Source organism: Homo sapiens, chromosome 4 (genome assembly GCF_000001405.40).
Source record: "Homo sapiens chromosome 4, GRCh38.p14 Primary Assembly".
Taxonomy (NCBI): domain Eukaryota; kingdom Metazoa; phylum Chordata; class Mammalia; order Primates; family Hominidae; genus Homo; species Homo sapiens.
The window spans coordinates 118,750,084-118,772,049 of NC_000004.12; the positions used below are offsets into that span (position 1 = coordinate 118,750,084).

Consider the following 21,966-nt stretch of genomic DNA (forward strand, 5'->3'; position numbering starts at 1 on the left):
AACAAAAAATAAGATGCAAAAGATATGAAGATACATCACATCAGCTGAAATGAGTTGGACTCTAGTAAACTGGCTGATGGCTGACTATACTGATTGCTGCAGTCGTTGTACTGCGTGAGCAACCTTGGAGAACATGGCTATTAAGAACATACTGATTTTCATAATGCATCATAATTAGTATCAAATTTCAGATACATAGAATGCATGTACACAATTTGCTTTATATATTTTTTCTTTCTAAGCTGCCAAGCAGTCTCTAGACCTCTTGTGGACTGCCAATGTGGAAACCATTGTTGTAAGATAGCATTGCTCCCTTTTAGAAATGAAATATGGGGTTGAGCTGGAACTCTACACTCAGATCCTGTGGAACCTTGGCTGTACAACTCTACTATGCTCTCTTAATTGGTGAAATATTAGCTAATGAATATCTACTCATCCTTCCTTTTACACACAAATCCATGAATGTAATATTATTCCCAGTCCTAACTTCTTAGAGTAGAAAGACTTGTAGGGTGATGTATGACTTATTGTGTACAGGAACATTTACATATGGATTTCTAGATACCTTATTGGAGGAGAGAAGAACAAAAACAACCCTTTCAAACTGAAATAGAAGACATTTGTTTGTAGTAACGTGGAATAAAACAAATTCCTTTCTTTCTGAAGACCAACCAATTATTATTTGTTTGCTTCTGTTAGGTGAGCCTTAATATCTTCAAGTTGCTTTATAATATTTGTTATTAATTTTATGTTAAATTGACATATATTCTGAGACTTTTTGAGTGATATCCACAATAGTCTTTGATCCCATAAATGAATACTCTTGCAGATTAAAAAAACCCAAGCAAGAATCACTGTCTTAGAACCAAGTTATACATTTAGATATAAAATTATGTGGGAAGTGTCTCATAAACTCAGTTCTGTAATACAGTTGTTGCTGTTTTTGTTATTATTACTAAGCATTTTATGTTAAAAGTTAATTTAAATTTAACTTTAATAACAACATTTTAAAATTAATTTTAGAAACTAGCTGTCAGGGCCAAAATGGTTTGACTCTTGTGTTAAGGTAATAATGATGATTTAGAGTGAGGGCTTTTTTTTTTTTTTTTTTTGAGATGTAGTTTCGCTCTTGTTGCCCAGGCTGGAGTGCAATGGCACCATCTTGGCTCACCACAACCTCTGCCTCCCGGGTTCAAACGATTCTCCCACCTCAGCCTCCCAAGTAGCTGGGATTACAGGTATGTGCCACCACGCATGGCTAATTTTGTATTTTTAGTAGAGACGGGGTTTCTCCATGTTGGTCAGGCTGGACTCAAACTCCCAATTTCAGGTGGTCTGCCTGCCTCAGCCTCCCAAGGTGCTGGGATTACAGGCGTGAGAGTGAGTGCTTTTTAATCATTACGGCTTCTTCAGTTTACTGTCTTCATTACTATGAGAATGATCAGAGTCATTTTGGACTCAGCTTCCCAACTGGAGACATGGCCAACCTCTCATCTACTTCTGGCAATCAGCATTCACATCTCTGTCACTGACTGTGACAAGGCCTTGGCCTGTCATGTTTGAAAATCCCATGGCTGGGGAGGGTGATATGGGAATCTGGTAGTTCTGATATTGTTGGACTAATTTTAAAATAGACCATATAAAGTTCATATAAAAGCCAGAGGGAGGAGCTAAACTGGAAATCCTGGCAAAATGAGTTGCTCAGATGCTAACAGTGCTGGAATGGACACACTGGGAGCAATCTGTGGTTTTGGTCATTTCCTCCTGAGATCTGAGTGGAAGTTTGGAATAGCCTCTAGTGACCCACGTTTTAATGAAGACTGTCTTTTCTTTCATAAATGAAACTTTCTTATTTTTTGTCTCTCTGTTTTTAAAATTTATTTACTAGCAATTAGAAGTGGCTTCTTCTCACCTTTAGTGCTTCCATGCCAGCCTGGATGACAGGAGCAAAGACAGTCTCATTTTCATTAGAGTCTGCAAACATGTCTGGAATCTGGTCCAACAAACTATAAGACATGAGTAAGCAAAAGGTTTGAAATGTTTAGCATATTTTAATAAACTTCAAGCAATAAATCACTAACATTTCAAGCCTAAACACATATGGTATTTATTTGACACCAACACCTATAGGTAATTTTTCCTTAGGAAATGATATCTTAGCGTGGCTTGGCACCAAAATCTATGATTTGAATGGAACATTTACAAAATCATTCTTTGTAGATATTTTTTCTATTCACTGCAATACTGATCTCTTAGACCATAAATTCTTGGAACAGTGGCTACATCTTCAGTTATTACCATCATCATTGAATACATTCATCCATATATAGGAAATAGCTCCCTTGCGATACCTTTCCAGAAAAAGAGGAAGAACCAATAGGGCTGAATGTGAGCATTTAAAAAATTCTTAGATACTGGTCTATATTTAAAAATCTCTTAGATACTTGTCTATATTTAAAAAAGACTGACTTAACATAAATGATAGAGTTTTATAATCTGTGTCTTGAAACCCCCTTGCTAATGATAAAACAATGTATGATTGAATCAAAACACAGTGCAATTAAAGACAAAACACCTGATTTACTTTTAAATTATAAAACACTTGATATTTACTTATGAATCACAGATTGGGATTCTTGATAGTTGACAAGGAAACCATCCAACAAAGGAACAAAGACTTCTCCAACATCAGTCACCACCATCATCTGAGGCTGGGCCAGATTACTCTTCACATTAAAGAAATGGAGAACTTTGTTATATGTGATAAAACCCACTCGAATTGCAGACGTCTCTTCTTGCTCTTCCCTGTAAGGAAAAAAAAAAGTGTTTGAGATGCTTTATAAATTTAGATGAAAAGGAGGTTTCTATCTGAAATTCAGTAAGTGTGTCTTCTATAAAATACATAAAAACATGTTTAAAGTTTTTGTCTTACTTTCTGTTACCAAGTGTAAACAATACTAGTCACGGCAATGGGGGATAGGAGTTATTACAAAAATAAACAAACTGATAAGGAAAAAAATCCTCAAAATTCTAGGTAAAAATCAAGTAAACACTTGTTCATATTTCTGTAACATATTTATTTTCAATCTATAGAAAACAATAATGCTTTTTTCATGAATAAGCTAGGCTTCTTACATTCCTTATAAACAAGGCTCTCTCAAAAGTCACCAGAAGGTCAGAAGAACAAATGGAATATTTGAAGCAAGGGATGAGGAAGCCATACTCATATTACTAACAGGACAGCTGCTTTTATTGAGAAAACACTTGCTCCTCTTCTCTGATTCTTTTCTTACATATCAGAGAATCTCAACAGAAAATAGGCTAGATTTGGGGAACTATATACCTTATAAACACATAGTATAAATATATAAAATAAGTTACATTTATAAAATGACAGTGTAATTGTTATTAGGTGACCATTTATGATGGTCATGGCAAAGCACTAAAAAGCTCCAAAGCTCTAAAACTGTAACAAAAAGTAGATTTTTTTTTTTAAGGAATTCCAAAACGAGGCCTTAGTATTCCTGTAAGTATAAAGGCATGAATGTTCTCGTTCCAGTCTATAGTCTATAGTGAGTACCTTCAGAATTTCATGGTCTAAACTTAGTTTCATGTTTGTTGAGTGCATTGTACAGTCTATTTTTGTCTCCCCTAAAAGAAAACACATAGATACTATTGATGCTCTTACCAATTTTCAATGGAGAATATTACATAGTGCTCAATGGTTAAAGAAAAGACACAAAACATACATGCCACTTTCTTTGACCATTAGATGTCAGCATAACTTATTTTGATTAAAGGACAACTTTTTTGAAAAGGAACCTGGTTTGCCCAGCTTCTAAATTTTGCATACGGCCTAAAGAGTTACTTGAGTACAAGGGAGAGGAAAATGGAAGTATCTAGATGGAAGTATCTCAAGTTCAAATTGCTGATTCTGCTGCAGACTTACCAATTTCTTTGATATGTCAACAGAGTACAGGCTGATAAGGTACTGACTCTGAACTGTGTTTTCTTCTCTACTTCCTTCACTAACTGAGGCTATTTGTTCTTCACTGGGCAGTTTAAATAGATTCTCATAATCCCTTCCAAAAGCACTTGGAAACTGTTTATATTCTGGACACTTGCAAAGCTTTCAGAAATGAGAATCCCTATTCTTTCTAACTACACATACAACAGACACTCACACACACCTCAATTATCCTAAATGGTGCAACTTTATGCAACTAACCACTATGCTATACTGCATCCATACTCACCCCAACCCCCACCCGATTCATTTGAATCTTACTCTTCAAAACCAAGTGCAAATTCTTCCTCCTCTGTGAAATCTCCCCGATGCTACCAATTAGAAGTCATTTCCTCTTCTAAACACTTATAAATCATTCTCATTGGGCTCTTAGCATAAGGTACCTTTTAGTCACAAGTCCTTGACTGCATGCTAATAAAGGACAGGACCCAAAGCTTATGTTATCTGTCCCCTGAGGGTCGGGTACAATGTGGGGAATTCGATATTTAACTGAGGATGACTATCATGATGGTGAAAAACTGGATTTGGGATGTCAAGTTAGAGCCCCAACTGATAACCCAATAGTATACATTTCTTCCCAACTCCAGTTTAGTCATGTCACCCTGATAGTTTAGAACCAGCCTGGCTAGAAGCACTGACACCATGGATTGAGCTAACACTACAAATTAAGGCTTTATTTTTTTGAGAGCTTACCAGCACACCACTAGTTAAGCTCCCATTTCCCAGTAAAACTTTTTATGACATTAGGTGAAAAATATCCCAGCAAATCACAAAGGGCTTTTATTCTCTTTTAATAGTTAATTTAGAATCAACTAAGGCAAAATACATAAAAGAAAATCTACAGAGGAAAAACTAGATTACTATTTCCCATTGGATTTGGACATTTTCAAGTGACGGGAAAGGAGTATCCTGGGATTCACAGGGTTCACTTAAGATCTAAATTAACATTTTTTAAAAGCATCTAATCAGAACATCCTACATTATTGCAAAATATTAGTACTGGTCTCCATGGGAACTTTTTTTTATTTGTTTGAGAAACAGAACTGTCCTAAAATTTTCTTCAACGGTGTAACTGCCTTATTAAATCATATCCAGAAGAAAACTAATTTTCAGCCTCTCCTTCCTATTAATTCTAGACATGTTTTGTGAAGTTATATAAGAGATTTCATAAAGACTAATACATTGATGTTCTTTTTTTCAATGATTACTTCTCTCAATGCTTGACCCATCATCATTTTAATGGAATGAACCTGACAGAGCAATACTGAAGACATTGGTAACTAGATGAACCAGAAAATTTTAAGATCAAGCATTTGGAACGTTTTAGTTACAGCAGCATTAAAAACAAACAGACAAAAAAAAAAAAAAGGCAAAATAACTAAAGAGCTTGATCTGAATAACAGATGAAACATTCAAATCTTTTCTTTCCTGTTCCAGAGAAGTCAGAAAAGTCTGGCGACCTTGAGAGGCCAAAGGTATAAATTCAAAGTTAAATAGTAAAGAATGAGGCCTTCCTTTTTCAAAAGATCAGCTAAGAGATTAACACACTCTCAGATGTTAATCAAGACTTCAGACTGTGCTTTTTAAAAAGCTGTTTGGCAAGTAGATCAAATTGATGACAATCTTACCTTAAAAAAAATAAAGTTACACATATGCACAGCCCAAAATAAATTTCAGGGGAGAAGAAACAACCAGATTTGTTTTAAAAGATAAAGTAGAAAAAGGTAATTGGCTTGAATAAAATCTTTTAAAAGAGAGATCGGAATAGTGGCAGAGAATAACCAACAGTATCCTTTTATTTTTTCCTCCTATCTTTTGCCAAAGTCACACATCTGTGCTCCAATGGTACATAAAGTTATAATGACACCAAAGGAAAGAGTATGATTTCATAACTTATATCAACAGGCTATTAGCTTCATATCACCAGCATTGATAAGGAACAAGGGACTGGTGAAGTAACTGTCTAGGATAATAGATTAGCCTAAGTTGAACCAGTTTGAGAGAAGGAAAAGAGAGAAAGACCATTTCCAGCAATTAGAGTAGTTTTCTTTCATGCTAATCAAGTTCAAATTCAGATTAAACCAACCCCATGAGAGAGTTCTGTAATAAAATACATCATATTCAGCAGAAAATCCATACTTCTCAAGTTTCCTTAAGAATAGGGTAAGGGAAACTACAGTCACAAACACATCTGCAGGCATCAGACGCCTTTCTTATGCCACCATCTTCAACTTGCTCCCAGCTCATTCTTCATTTTAGAATTTAGTTTGAAATTGCCTCGGTGTTTTTTAAACATCCCCACTGCTTTTCCAAACCATCTTCGAAAATATTATGACTTCAGCTTCACAGATACAAACAAAACCACTCCTGGGAGGTCCAGAGTTCATTTGTCTGAGCCTCACATCTCCCAAAGCACCAGTCATATGTGCAAAGAATACAGAGGAATGGGCACCCAAAGATTCATGGAGCTCTAAGGGCTGAAGCCAACAACCCACCCTCCAGAAAAACATCCTTTTCCAGAACAAAGATTGTTGATGTTCAGGGAGACAGGTTGGGGGTGGGACACGTAGGGACTAGGTTACAGACAACATTTCCCAGCCTGTTCATATTTCCTCGCATGAGGGATGGCATTCTCCCTGCTCATGAATCTCCTTACTAGATGTTATTCCTCATCCTAAACAACTAGTTTTTATAATAAGATAATTTTAAAATAGCCACGTTTGATATTAGTTTTAGGAGAGGCAATAAGAGAGAAAAATAAAAGGATAGTGTTAGTTATTCCATGCTAGTTTCCAAATACCGCTCTTAAAAGCTTTTATTCAAGCCAAGATACATTTTTTCCTCTTTATTTTTCAAAACAAATCTGGTTGTTTTTTCTCTCCTGAAATTTGTTTTGGGCTGTGTATGTGTGTAACTTTATATTTCTTATGGTAAGACTGCCATCAGTTTGATTTACTTCTTTGTATTAAAGCAGGTAATATGCCCAACAGCCTTTTTAAAGCACAGTCTGAAGTCTTGAGTAAGGTCTAAGGTATGTTCATCTGTTAGTTATTAGAATTAGTTTTTCGCCTTTCCTTGCTGCCCTCTTGCAATGGCAAGGAATGTGGTGCACCTCAGGCTGTTAAGTTACAGGACACAGAGGCAGTAAAGCTGCAAATGGGTTGGACAGCTTATCATAAGGGCAAAAGGAAATTGCTTAAAAATCTACCATCTCTGCCATAAGACAACAGTTCAGTTTCCTGTCATCCCTTCGAACTCTGCCATGCTCAGCAACTACTAGTGTCCATTGGAAAATCAATGCTTTGAAAAGTGAATAACACATCCAAAGTCTTTCCTACCACACTGTTGGGATTCTTCTTATAATTTATAATGTACTTTGAAAGTTCTTTACCATAGCATTTCTTTTTATCAGTTTGTTTCTTTTGCTTTGTACAAAAGATCACTCTAACTTTCTAAGGACTCAAAACAATGATGCTGTTTGATTTATGACTAATTACCCAGTGTCCTCATTAGCAAAAAAAATCAATTGGTCATTCAGCACTTATCTTCTGGCCAATAAATTAATTAGGCAATAATGTATAAGTTGTAAAAAGAATGACGGTTGCCTTACTTTGGAATTTTTTCCAGCATGGTCTTCAGTTCTTCACATATGAGCTTGACAAGTCCATTCTTTATGTTACTATATGAAACATCAATCATGAAGATAAAGGCTGGTGGGTTGGGAGGCTTACTCTTCTATAGGAAAGCAAACACATCACATAAATAAAGTAAATACATTGCATAATCAAATGTCAATACTCATTAGAAACTCTTGAAAGTCATCAGATGTTTCATTTAATATTTAGGATATACCATCTGTGGAATTAAATCATTTTTCCAGAATATCTAGAGCATCTGGTTTCAGATGCTATTAAAAAGATAAAAGAAGTTGTTTATTTTCCAGGCTATGACCTGGGTTAGTATTGAATTAGACACTATTACGACATCTAGCACAGAAGGTTCACTTTTGCAAAGCTTTATTATTACAGTTGCTGAAGGGAAAGTACAGAATCATGGCCAGACTTGCTTGTAACACTCTGCCTTACAGGTCGAAATATGTTTGGCACACTAAAAAATTATGCTAAAAAAGAATACATATAATAGTGTTTGTTTTTGAAACTGTAATAAAACTTCATTAACTTGGATGTCACTATTTTAGACTCTCTTCTTCTATCAACTCTTTCCATTTTAAAGATATGAAATTGTGTATGAAAATATAACTGTATACTTTTGAAAACTGTACTATATTTTTAAGTACTGACCTAGTTTTTTACATATTTGCGGTAACATAGAACGTCAGGCGTTTTCTTTATCTGTTTAAAATAATCACTGTGACATAAAGCAGCTGCTACGAACATGTTTTTTAGTTGTTGGTCCCTTTACTGGCTGGTGTTCAAACAGCTTTTAGGAAGTGATCCTTCAGTTGCATCTTACAAAATATTTAGAAAAGAGAGCCACAGGCAAACAACTTTAGTGACCTACATACGGAATAAAGAATTTAGACCAACTTAATTTTTAACTTCATAATAAATCACAAAAATTTTCTAAAATTGTATTTTAATTATTTTAAAATTAGATGACAATGTCTGTAAATTATCTTTCTGATTCATTCTATATCCACTACAAGGCTAGAGATAACTTTTTAAAATAAAATCCTTCATTTTAAATAAAAACAAATTATAGGACTTAAAAATCATCATCCTGAAAACTTCAAGCCTTTGCCAAAATCAGACCAACAAAGAAATGAAGGAATTCTGCTATGTGAATAATTTTTATTGCAAATCATTCCTGATTCACACCTACTTTAATTCACAGCATAGACTTGTGCTGATTTATAATGGATGAAAATAACAACCTTTCCATTAGTTAAATCAAAACCTCTTTGTGACAAACCCAAGTGTGCTGTACCATTCTTTTAATCTCTTCTATCAGCATTACCAATTCCTCATGGAATATTTTCCACATCTCCAATTTGCACATTTCTACAGAAATGCTTCACTATAACTGGTTTTTGAAATATTCAAAATTAATTCATCGTTCCTCTAAATCACATTCTCTTCCCATTTCTCTATATGGGAATAACGTCACTACATGCCAACTCAAGGCTTCAAAGTGTGAAATTAGATTTGGCTGTTCCTTTTCCTTCAATAACTGAGTCCCATTGTTTTCACTTTCAGAATGATTCTTTAACAATGTTTCGGCCCATCCCTACTCTTAACCATCTGAAAGCTTGTCATCTTGTGCCTAGATAACTGTCATGGCTTCATCATTAGCTTTCTTAATCTATTTCTCTACCCATTCAATCCAGCTGGCTTTGTCCAGCCAAGCTTAACATGTATGTACTCTATAAAATGCTGGTTTTCCATGCCACCTTACTACAACTGCTCTCTTAAAGGTCACTGAACCATCCAGATTGCAAAGTACAGTGACTTGAAATAAAAATCCAGCTCTTATCCTAGATCTCTTCTATCTCTTTGCAACTTCAGGCACACCAGACCACTTTGGCTCTCTTAGCTGCCAGGACACTGAAGCATCATTTCCTCTCCCAGTTCTCTAACTGTTGCTTCTGTTTTTCATTTTCTCATCTTTATCCAACTTCTCTCCTCCCACCCACGTCCATCACAGAAATCTCGTTCATTTGCTCAGTTTTAACCAGCACCTCTATATAGGCAACTCTTCAAATTCTTTCTCATCATGATTCCTTTTGAGCTCAAGACCAGCATTCCAATTAACTACAGCACACATCCACATAAAAGTTCTGCCAGCACCTTAGACTCAAAATTTTAGAGATTATGACAACATCTCTCCAACTATACTGGTCTTTCCTACAAGAAACTTATAAAAAAACACGATAAGCTAAAATAACCTGGGCTTGAAATCTCACTGTCTCCATGGACTTGTCCACCTCACTTAGCATCCACAACCAGTTAATTGTGAAGGCCCACGTGGCTCTTTTAGTTCCAGTAGCCAAATTTAGATCCTCAATTTCTCTCTTTTTCTATTATTTTTAATTGTGGCGAAGAAAACATAAAAATTGCCATCTTAACCATTTCAAGCGTACAGTTCAGTGGCATTAAGTGCACTCACAATGCTGTGCAACCATTACCACCATCCATCACAGAATGCTTTTCAGCTTGCAAAACTGAAACTGTACCCATTAAACAACCTCTGTTTCCTCTCTCCAGCACCTGGCAATCACCATCCCATGTTCTGTCTCTATGAATTTGACTATTCTACATACCTCATATAGAATCATTCCATATTTATCCTTTTTGTGGCTGGCTTATTTTACTTAGCATAACATCCTCAACATTCATCCATGTTGTAGCATGGGTCAGACTTTTCTTCCTTTTTGAGGCTGAATGATATTCCATTGTACGTATATACCACATTTTGCTTATCCATTCTTCTTCCATAGACACCTGGTTGCTTCCTCCTTTTGGCTATTGTGAATACTGCTGCTATGAACAAGGATATGCAAATATCTTTTTGAGACTCTGCTTTCAATTATTTTGGGTATATACCCAGAAGTGAAACTGCTAGGTCATATGGTAATTCAATTTTTTTTTTGTTTGTTTAAAGAAGTCTCACACTGTCACCTGGGCTGGAGTGCAGTGGTGCGATCTCGGCTCAGTGCAACCTCCAACTCCCGGGTTCAAGCGATTCTCCTGCCTCAGCATCCCAAGTAGCTGGGATTACAGGTGCCCACCACCAATGCCAGCTAATTTTTTTTTTTTATTTTTATTTTTAGTAGAGACGGGGTTTCACTATGTTGGCCAGGTTGGTCTCAAACTCCTGACCTCGTGATCTGCCCGCCTTGGCCTCCTGAAGTGCTGGGATTACAGGCATGAGCCACCGCACCTGGCCGGTAATTCTATTTTTAATTTTCGGGGGAATTATCGTACTACCCTCATTTTCTCATAGTTGGACAACTACATTAATTTCTAATGTTCCCTTGCCTCTAATCTCTCCTCTCATTATACAGACTGCTGTCAGAATAAACTGTCTGATGCTCAATACAGATCACAATGCTTCCTTCTCTGAGAACAGGAAATTTACTGAGTCCTCAGAGCCTAGCACAGAGCATGGCACCACAAACAGTGCTCATTAACTGTTGACTGAGTGAATGAATGCATGGATGAATGAATGGAACAACTCCACCTTCACCTTTAATTGTCCTCATGGCCTACTGAATTAAGGTAAGTTCTTCAATGGCCTGACATTCAAGACTTACCATGATACTCATTTAACAAACATGTATAAAAACCTAAGAAATCAAAGATACAATGCTGGACCCAGGGGAAAATAAAAAGATAGACTGCGTCTCAAAACAATGTCCCAGCTTTACTTCCCATTATTCCCAATACACATTCTCCCAACAATTTAAGTAGTTTACATTTCCAAAATATCTCCTGTCCAAAAGTCACAGACTAGTGGGCCTAAGCCAAGAATTTGGCTGGAAAAGTGTTTTGTTTGGCATAGTGTTTGAAAAAATATTTGAATTTGAATATGTTTTGAGGGAAGGGGGAATATACTCTCTAATTATCCTGGTCCATGTCACTTCATCTACAATGTCTGCCTAGCCCCTAAAGAAATCTGAGTAAATTGTCAATAAGTTTGTGAAACTATTTCTGCTCACTGTCCTAGTTGTCATGTCCAGGCTCATAATCTAATCAGCTCAAATGTCACTTCCTCTATGAAGCCTTCCCAATCCTGTTTTCTTACGGCACTATGATTGTTCTATTCTTACTGCATTTATCATATTTGAGTTTATATGAAAACTATAGACATTTCTTATCAGGTCTATACATTGTAAGTACCTTGAGAGCAGGTTTATTATCTTGCTAATTTTGTTATGCCTTACAGCACACAGACAAGTACCTTAGACATGTTAGGCATCTGGTAATGTCAAAGTGAATTAAAATTAAGTGAAGAAACTACATTTTTGTTCAGAAAAAAAAAAAAGCTGACTTGGATGGAGACTTCACATTTCAAGTACACTTTACATGCAGATATATTCCATAAACTTATTAATGATAAACTCTCAGTTATATGGCAAAGCTGAGGCCTTTTTTTTTCTGAGGGAACTCCAGGATGATTGTGTTAATACTTGCTCATGTATACACAGTGTACTGATTAGAGAATAGGGCTTCTGTGATCACACAGATACGGTTTTCAGTCTGGCTCTGTTACTTTCTGGATGTATGGCCTGAAGCTGGCACTTACGCGGTCTCTAAGCCTAAGTTTCCTCAAGTAATGATGGTACGCACCACATGGGTTCACCGTGAGGACTAAATGATACAATACATAGAAAGAATTTAGCCTACAGCTTGGCACATGGTAAATGTTCAATAATGTTAATTTTACCATCTAAAATCAACATTAAGATGAGCCAAGATGAATAGGAAAATGTGATTTTGTAATTCCTCTTTCCAAGTGCATGGTGTAAAAAATACATGTACAAATTAAATAAGCTTTTTCATTGTCTGAATAGCTAAGCCAACTCATTATTATACTTTATTTACATTTTAAATTATAATCAAATTTGAAGATGTTTACAGCATATTTATTATGAACTCTACTTGGAATAATAAAAGGAAGATTATGCTTACAAAAAGTTCTTCAAAATGTACAATTTTTATTTGGTTCCTTGCCTGGCTGGGTGAGATTTCCCATCAATTAGACTTCTGGAATATTTCCAGATAACAGAGTTTGAAGATACTAAGACTTTTGTTCCCAGAAACAGATTTGACTCTCTGCCTAAGTTACTACTAAAAAAGCATATAATCAAGATCATGTCACTTTTTTGGCAGAGAACTAGAAACTGAGAGCAGGGTTAGATTTATACTATGGTTGCAAAGATCGGCAAATAAATTTTCCATCATTAGTTACAATGGCTTTCTTACATTGAATTAAAACATTAAATGTTTGCATGTTGCCCAATGATTCTCCTTCAGTTAACAGCAGTTAGGAACAACTAAACTGTCCAAAAGTCACTGTATTTTAGGACATGCTTCTTGCCTAAAATAAAGCATTTGTACCAAAAATATTCCTAAATTTCCCTAAGTATGTTCAGATGTTGCAACATCTTAAACTAATAAAGCATCACATTTTCTTTAACAACTAGTTCTACGTAGTATATTGCAAAATAATCATATAAAGTAGTAAAATAAATGCAATAAGTTATGTTAATGGAAAAAATTTTAAGAGCCAGTCAACTGAAAAAAATTCTAGTTAGGAAAAATGTTCATTATCATCTACACTCAATACATGACTGCTCGCCTTGCAAACATCTATGAAAGAAATCTGTGGGTCAGAAGCTGTTTTCTGGGAATTGGGCATTAGTAGGCACTCATTTTTAGAAGAGAAAATAAGAAAATAAGTTAGAATGGCCCTGTTTCTTCAAGTCTACACATGGTGCTTCAGATATGCGCTGAAATCTGAATGATACGCAAGAAGATGTGATTTTCAAATCAGTGAAGAATTTTAAAGCCTTGCAAGGTATCCATAATGATGTCATTGTGACACTGGACAAGGGAAATGGCTAGTCCTGGGAATAGTAATACCCGCAAATTCATTGTTTTATTCATTCCACATACACTGATCAACTACCTATCCCATGGCAGATAGTGTGGTAAATGTCATAAAGATGACGAGGATATCAGAATCTAAGAAGACGGCAGACATATAAGAAGGTTTAAATTCCATGGGGATAAATGCTAAAATAGAGATATAGACCAAATTCCGTGAAAAAACAGAAGCTATAGTAAATAATTACCATGATAAAGACAGAGAAAGTTGCAAATGCATATACACAATTAAAATTTCAGCCAGGCATTACAGAATAGGGAGGGGTTTGCCAGTTGGGGTATGTAAGATGTGACAGGAGAATGGAAAGATACTCTGGTCAGATGAACATCTGGTATAAAGGCATGGAGTTGTCAAAGGGGCTGAGTTCAGAGTATGTGGTGAAAAGTTTTGTATAACTGAAGAGACAGCTGAGGTGATAGTTTGGGGGGCAATGCTTAATGGCCTTACAAAGAAAGCTAAATTTTTTTTAATTTAATTTTTTAGAAAAGAAATAACCAATAGAGGTTTATGAGAGGCAGTGAGTGTGGGGGCGTGTCTCATGGTGACATTATAGAGCAGGAAAATCAAAGGCCAGGATCTCAGCCTGCTGAGATAGACAGTGTAAGGGGGATTCTGAGAGTCCAAACCATCGTGGTAGCAACAGGAGGGAAGGGAGGTACAGAAACACGTCAATAGTCCTACTAACCATTTTGGTTGAGCTTTTCTCTTGGAAGGGAAGTTTTTCTGAGACTCTTTACAAAATAAGGGAGGCAGAGGCACTGTACGGAACTACTGCATTAAGAACCAGGTATATTCTGTCTGGCAAGGACATAAAAAATTATTGTTTTCTATTTCTGACACCACATTTCAGTTTTTAAAAATAATTCCTCCAGTAGATGGTTTGGCAGTTGAATCATGTTAACAACCTAGGAGATGGGATCTGTGTCTTAGGCATTTCTACCACTCCATGGTACCACCAAAATGCTTTGTTTGTGAATCAAGAGTCAGTTCTTTACATATGAAAGTTATTCACTTGAATTTAACATCAATGTATAAACACTTGAAGTTCTGGGAACACTTACTCTGCAATAATCCAAAGTGGCAACATATTCATAAGATCCTAGAGATAACTCTGGTTTCTCATAGTGGTCCAGTCTTCTTCCAATGTGGTCCAGATGTTGGAAATAGAATGGTGGAACTAATAAAAACAAAATAGGAAAGAAAATATTTTGTTTTCATAAACACAGACAATTTAGTAAGTTCTCAAAATTTATTATGAGAGGAAAGGAGTTAGTATCTGGAAAAATGTATTTTAAAGCTGGAATGTAGTATACCGTAAATACCTACTATTTTAAAAACATGTCTTGGAAAAGAGGAGGGTTCTTATTCTATAAGTTATTGATGACAAAGAACATTTATGATTTAGACCATCCTAGAGAAACAGGGTATAAAAGTATTGGTGTTTTTAAGTTGTCACAACCCAAATTCAATTGTCCCCATTTTATTACCTCTTTTAAAAAGAATTCTGACTTTTCTAACTATTTGAATTTTTAATATACCTAACAGAAATAAACATTCGTTATTTGAACTATACTATGAACTACAATATTTATTATGCTTTAATTAAGAGATGTCTTCACCCATGTGGAGTTTGCATGGTAATCTTTTAATGTTTGCGCTTAAGAGTGGAGAGGATTACTGTATTAGGGAAAGACTACACCACTAAGATCTCAGCTAAGGAACTTTAATTTGATTCAAATGTCTAAGAAGGTTAGTTCTGGCAAAGATCTGGAAGTCATCCAATAGCACAGGAACACTTATGAGTCACATACTGAGCACTTGGACAAATATGGCCTGGTATCTCTGTAAAAACGAACTCCTGTTGCCTTGAGATTAATAGGGCTGGCTACTAAACCACTGCCAATAAAAGTATTTAGAAAAACTACCAATGCTCTGGTTTTAAACTTTTTGTAAAGAACAACATTGCCATTTGTAAAAACCATACAAATAATGCTTCTTGTTTTTAAGCCAACAATTTGGCATTATTTATTGTTAGCTGTGAAACTGACATAAGAATAACAAGACTGTTTTCTGAGGTTGTTCTTTTTTTAAAAAAAAAACCCACTGAGGCTTGATTGTTCTACGTTGTTACTGTATCATGGCCATTTCTTTTAAAGTAAATTTTATAAGGTTCTTATGCACATATGGATCTCTGAATTTGGAAGATTCAACTTCTTGAAAAGATTACATAAGTAGCAACTGACAGGCTCAGCTGAGGTAAGTAAACTTTGAGGGTCTTAAATTGCTATTTTGTTACATTTAGATGAGATGGAGGATGCTGCCTCGGCTATCTTAGAATGCATAGTACAGTAGTTTCCACATAGTATAACATACAATTCATTCACATCTACACACAGAAATGTAATATGTGAAATGTTTTCCCTTTAAATTTTATTTTATATTCATTAGCATTTAATATTGTCTATCATCTTTTGTAAGCCAACATTCAACTCATACCATAAATCATGTACTACCCTTTGGCCCCTGTCTTCCTGCATGTCTCTGACCACACATACTCCCCACTGGACAATCTCTGGACACTTTGCAAGGAAATAAGAGTGGAATCACTAAAGCAAGCCTGCTGGGTTCTTTCTAACTCCAACAAACCTCTGTCTTTGTTAAACCTAAAAGAAGACAGGTGTCAGCATACATCTATGGGAGTCTGGCTTCCTTGTAGGGACACATATTTAAGCCTAGTGTGAATAATTCTATTGGAAAATAAACATGGCAGCTTCCTAGGAATGGATACCTGAGGGAACATAATCTGCTGTGTTGAGACACAAGAATTCTGAGTCGTTTTTCTCTTCCTGGAAGTGGCTGGGCCTTTTAAGGCCCTGAGCCGACACTTTGGGTAGGAGGCCAAAGAGTCACAGCAAACTGAAGATCCTTGCTGCTCTTCATGGTGGGTATGATTTTGGTCACCTTTCTAAGAAAGCTGGGGGCTTGGGTGAAGACATCTGAGGAGCTGGTGGGCTCGCTGGAGGACTTTGTCCAAATGCTTTGGGAGAAGCCTCTGTCCCTTCTCAGGATTTTTTCCTCTAAAACTAAAGCACAGAGAAATGAATTGTCACAGGGTTCCTGAAATCCAGGTCCCAAGACTGAATGATAGCCATGAATTTGGTTGCAGATTTCATTCAGGTTGAGAGAGGAAACAAGATCTTCCTTAGAAAGAGAAGTGAGGGTAGAGAACTAACAATCTGGTCTCAATGGGATATCCAATTTGCCCTGAGTGGAAACCATAGTTAATGTAAGGAGAGAGACGTACCAAGAGGCTTAGGCCATAGGCTGGGATGAGTCTAGAAGCCAATGATTCAACTCCACAGCAAGGTGCGTTTAAGAACTGACCAAAGGTCTGCATGAGAAGCACTCGCAAGGCCAGTCTCTGGCGCCCTAAGTTGGGTAAAGCCATGGACTGTGTGTGTGCGAGATAAGGTGGCAGGGAAATAAGAAGGCAAGCAACGCTCTCCCACCAGAGAATGCTCACAGAGCCAAGATGCCATGAATGTAATGATGTAGGAGGAATACTGTCCCCAGCTCAGTCAGCATTAGGGAGTAGTCAGCACCCGTGGGTAGAACCATGTGTTCACAGGCAGACAGTGCTATATGTTCTTCAGATCTAATTACCTGCAGGGAAGCCTGTCTACAAAGATAAGAAACAGAGAAGAAAACTCATACTCTAGTAATCATCACATGGTTCAAAAAATGTCAATGAATATGGGAATGTTCTCAGCCTCAGTATGTACCTCATTTAACAACAAATAATTAAAAATATATAGACATGTTATAAATGTAATAAATGTGAAAACACTTTCAGCAACTTAGCAGTTTTCTTCAAAATCAGTAAATTCGTACTGGAATAAAACAAAATATAATGAATACGGGAAAGCCCTTTTTAATAATGTTCCTTCCTCCTTAAACAATCCAACATTTACATCGGAGTGAAAAAAAAAATCTATATAAGTGTTAAAGCCCTTGGTTATACCTAAGCTTTTCCTAAGTATCAATGAGCTGATTTTCAAGAATAACCTTGAGAAGTGACAAAAGAGGAAAAGTCTCCCAAGTTTATCATCTGTAATCATAAGAGGTAAAAATCTTATTTTGTTTCCCACTGAGGCTTTGTGGAAGGGGATTAAGAAATAAAATTTTTCCCCCTACATTTGAGTTTTTTAAGAAACATTTCAACTTCCATGTGGGGCTCATGTAGTTACCTAAGGTTAAAAGGGGCTTAAATTTCCCAAATAGAGCCTGTCATAGTTGGTTTCCTTCTAGAAAATTATAAAGAAGGTACTGCTATATAGCAGAAAAAAGAATGTATGCTTCTCCTAAACTAAGAAGTATAATACATTTTAGTTAATAAAGAATTTCACAAAGAGCTTTTAATGGCACTGCTTACCATCATTCACACAGTTGCAAAATCCACACTGATATCTCCTTCCTCCTTCGATGAACTGCATAAATGGGCACATGTAGGCCTTGCACCTGTTGCATCTGACTGGTCCACTCTCGCCGTGATTTACCAAGTAAAGGGGACTCTATGGAGAAGCAAGAAAAATTAAATGAACAGGTGAGTATAGGATTTCTAGGTACTATAATTTGGGAAGTCTTTTAATGGCACTTTTTTTTTTTTTTTTTTGAGACAGAGTCTTGCTCTGTCACTCAGGCTAGAGTGCAATGGCATGATGTTTGCCCACTGCAACCTCCACCTACAGGGTTCAAGCGATTCTCCTGCCTCAGCCTCCCGAGTGGCTGTGATTATAGGTGCCTGCCACCAAGCCTGGCTAATTTTTGTATTTTTAGTAGAGACGAGGTTTCGCCATGTTGGCCAGGCTGGTCTCGAACTCCTGACTGCAGGTGATCCACCCACCCTGGCCTCCCAAAGTGCTGGGATTACAGGCGTAAGCCACTGTGCCTGGCCTAGTGGCAATTTTTAAGGAACTCAACTCTTAGCTTTTGCCCCAGGACAGTAAAGATGTCTTTATTGATAACACATGAATTCAAAGCCATAAGATGTTGTCCAGAATACCCAAACAAAAGTTAATTTATCTCACTTATAAGGATATATCAATATATGTATATTTATGTCTATCTGCATATGCATATTTGCCAATATGTGTGTGGAGAGAGAACATATAGTGATGGTAATAATACCTACTTATACTTACGTTAAAAACATTCTAGACAACTTGTGTCACCTATTTTGCTAAGTTTCTTCATAGATTATAAATAAAGAGAGTTGGGCCTGATTTAAAAAGTTCTAGTTTGCATAGCAGTATGCTGTCTATGTAGTTCCCCCAAAGCACATAAACTATTTCTTCAAAAATGCAGCTATTTGAAGAAATATGCAATAATGTTCATTTATTTAGGCAAGGCGGTCGATTCTACCTTTTCTGTTAGTTTATCAGAAAAAAACGTTTCACAGAATACTCACAGTGTAGCTGGCCATGCTTTGCCAGAACTGAAAAAATAAATCATTCAATTGCTTCTTCCTCATAAACATACATAGAAAGCATGATACATCTTTTACAGTTTAAAAGTAAAAAAGTTCAGCATTAAGTCTGCCTTCCCAACTCTTCTGGCTTTCGGGAGAAAACCACAGAGATACTTGTTTTTGTAAATCTCCTTAAAGATAACATTTAAAGAAAAGCTTGAGAATTGCAGGCTTTGGCATGTCAATTAAATTTTTCTTTACTGAAAAAGATACAAATAAAGCAGACTGCTTTTGAACGGAGGCCTGAAGAGCAGGAGGTCAGTGGGGTAGGGGCATCAGGCCGTTTTCTGCTTCAGTCTTAGAAAACCGAGATCCCCCATTGTCCCTGCCCAGATGTTCAAAGTGAAAGCTGAGGTTTCAGAAATCATTTGGGAGGTCTCAGAGCAGAAAAAAACAGGTTTATTAACACAATACTCAAAAGAATCGGGGAAGGATTTAAATTTTTTCTTTAATCATTCCCCTCTATTTCTGCAATGCCCTCTTCCCCGCATCTTGCCTCAAGAAAGCCAGAAGACAGATTGGATTTTCTTGTTTATGGTCGCTTCTGATCCACAGCATGGGCCTGGCTCTGGTGCCCCACTGGTAGGGGTTGTGACAAGGATTAGGTGAGTAATACATGTGCAGTGTACAGCATTGTGCCTGGCAAAAAGTAGTTGGAAAATTTTTATCCAGAACAGCCTTTCCTCTCTCAAAACCACTCAGCTCAGGACAAAGTCATCTTTGACAGGAGGGCAAGTATGAGATGGGCTTCAGGTCCTGAAGGCTACCTGGTCAGTTATTGTAAAAACATTATTGTAAAAATGATCTAGAAGACAGAGAATAAACTTTCAGGGGATTCTGATACACTCTAATGGTTAAAAGTTGAGAAGCAGAATGGATTTTTAAAACACTCCAGGAACTTTATTTAAATACATACTCACACATACAAATTCATATATCTGATGTATACACCACTCTTTCAGACAAACTTTTTGTTAGAAAGGCATATAGTGACAAATGTTTGTTCTCTTCAGCTGGTAATAGGAAGAAATTACTTGAGGAGGCAAGAGAGAAGCAAAAGCATGCAGGTACAAAAAAAAGAGATTCTTAGAACAATAAATGGAAAGCTAGAAGAGTAAGAAGCGGAAGACAACAAATATGTGCTGTTCAGGTAGCTTCCTCTGGATTAAAAGTACAATTACCAATCATGACTCCAGTTACTGCTCTGTTCCACAACTCCAACCTCTGAGATCAGGAGATGCTTTCAGAAGTTAAAATTGGGAGAAATTCTGCAGTTTCCATTCACTCAGCCAAGTTTACTTTTCTCATCCTTTTATTTTCAAAAAGTCCAAAGGCTGTAACAAATCCCCTGATTTTAGAAACCAAATAAGATCCAATTATATGCTAGACAAGCCAAAAGTAATGGAAGCAAATTTGACCTTATTATCACTGATATGATTTGCTCAAAACCAGACCCAGCCTAAAATTACTGTGAAATTGTCGGCAATGAACACCTATGCATTCCAGTCCTGACAGATTCAAACTTGCAGGACTGAAAATCAATGTCTAACAGGAAACTGGAGTCAAGTCATGACTGTGTCTAGGCTATTAAATACACTTACAGTTTTTTCAATTTTCACTTTTTTAGAAACCAGATGATGGATAGGTAAGTAAGGTCTTCAGAAAACTGAGGTGACAGTAAAGAATGTTAAAAGCTTTTTAACTGTTTACATTTTATTTTCAGGCAACAGGGCAAGGGCTTCTAAATTACACTGGCTTGTTTCATCTCTCTCAGGCCATGTTGAAAAGCATCAAAGATTTCCCTTTGCACTCTCCAGATGTCAGCTTATCTGCACCACAGTGTGCATGAGCTCATAAATAGCTAACCTTACTTTTCTTTTGAGTTCGATCTTGGTGTGCATGGCTTTAAAAAAAAATCAAGTTACTTTTCAAAAAATTGCCTAAGTTATCTTTTTTCCTTACCAAGGGAATTATATTTACCTCAGAAATATTTTCAGATTTTAAAAATTTTGTTTACAAATATACTTTAATATTTAGCTCTTAGTATATCCCTGTCTGCCCTTTCTTTTCTGTTCTTAAGTGGAAAAGTGAAAGGATAGAAAGACTGGCTATAAAAACCTCACCTGGCTATTGTTTGGTTCTGGCCCTGTGTGGCCTGAGTTTACACAACATGAAAGTGATAGGGAGGCTGAGGAAAAATGTGAATCTTTTCCTTGTATTTTTGGATTAACGGGTGTGCCAAATACTGTGCTGATACTAATTTTAATAAAAGTGCTTTAATTGAATAAAATGTATCTCTTGTGTATGTATATAAACACTGGTTGATTTTGGACCACAAGTGAGAATATCATTCTACGAAATGAGACTTAGTACTAAAATGATATCCAACAATTAAGAAACAAAATAAAACAACTTTTGATTATTTTTCCATGTAAAAGAAGCAGACATCAAGATGTATCCACCAATGCCTTCTTAATACCACTAGTAAAATTTTAAAAGTCTTCTTATTTGAATACATTATCAGTTTTCCGAGTATTGCTGCCATTCTCTTGGGTAACTTTAACATTTGTACCACAGGTACCTTTGAGGGACCTACAGTGTAGCGGGGTAGAAAGACAGTAAATAAAAAAGTACACACAAATGCCATGAAAAAAACAGGGTATGAGGAGAAACAATACTTGGCAGAACATCATAAACAAGAGCTCTTTTTAAAGCTCTTTTCAATTTAGAAAGGCGATGTTAAATTATTCACAGATTGTATTTCCAAAACAAACACAGATGC

General features: G+C 36.4%; 1 protein-coding gene across 2 annotated transcripts in view; it reads right to left on the reverse strand.

Annotated features, from left to right (window-relative positions):
• SEC24D (SEC24 homolog D, COPII component) overlaps nucleotides 1–21,966 on the reverse strand; it is a 113,304-nt gene that overhangs the window by 27,261 nt on the left and 64,077 nt on the right. For both annotated transcript variants that reach the window (NM_014822.4, NM_001318066.2), the window contains exons 9-13: nucleotides 18,090–18,228; nucleotides 14,719–14,834; nucleotides 7,638–7,762; nucleotides 2,614–2,805; nucleotides 1,913–2,006 (exon numbers count right to left, since the gene is read on the reverse strand). In NM_014822.4, coding sequence (NP_055637.2) covers nucleotides 1,913–2,006; nucleotides 2,614–2,805; nucleotides 7,638–7,762; nucleotides 14,719–14,834; nucleotides 18,090–18,228 — 666 coding nt within the window. The remainder of the gene's footprint in view (nucleotides 1–1,912; nucleotides 2,007–2,613; nucleotides 2,806–7,637; nucleotides 7,763–14,718; nucleotides 14,835–18,089; nucleotides 18,229–21,966) is intronic.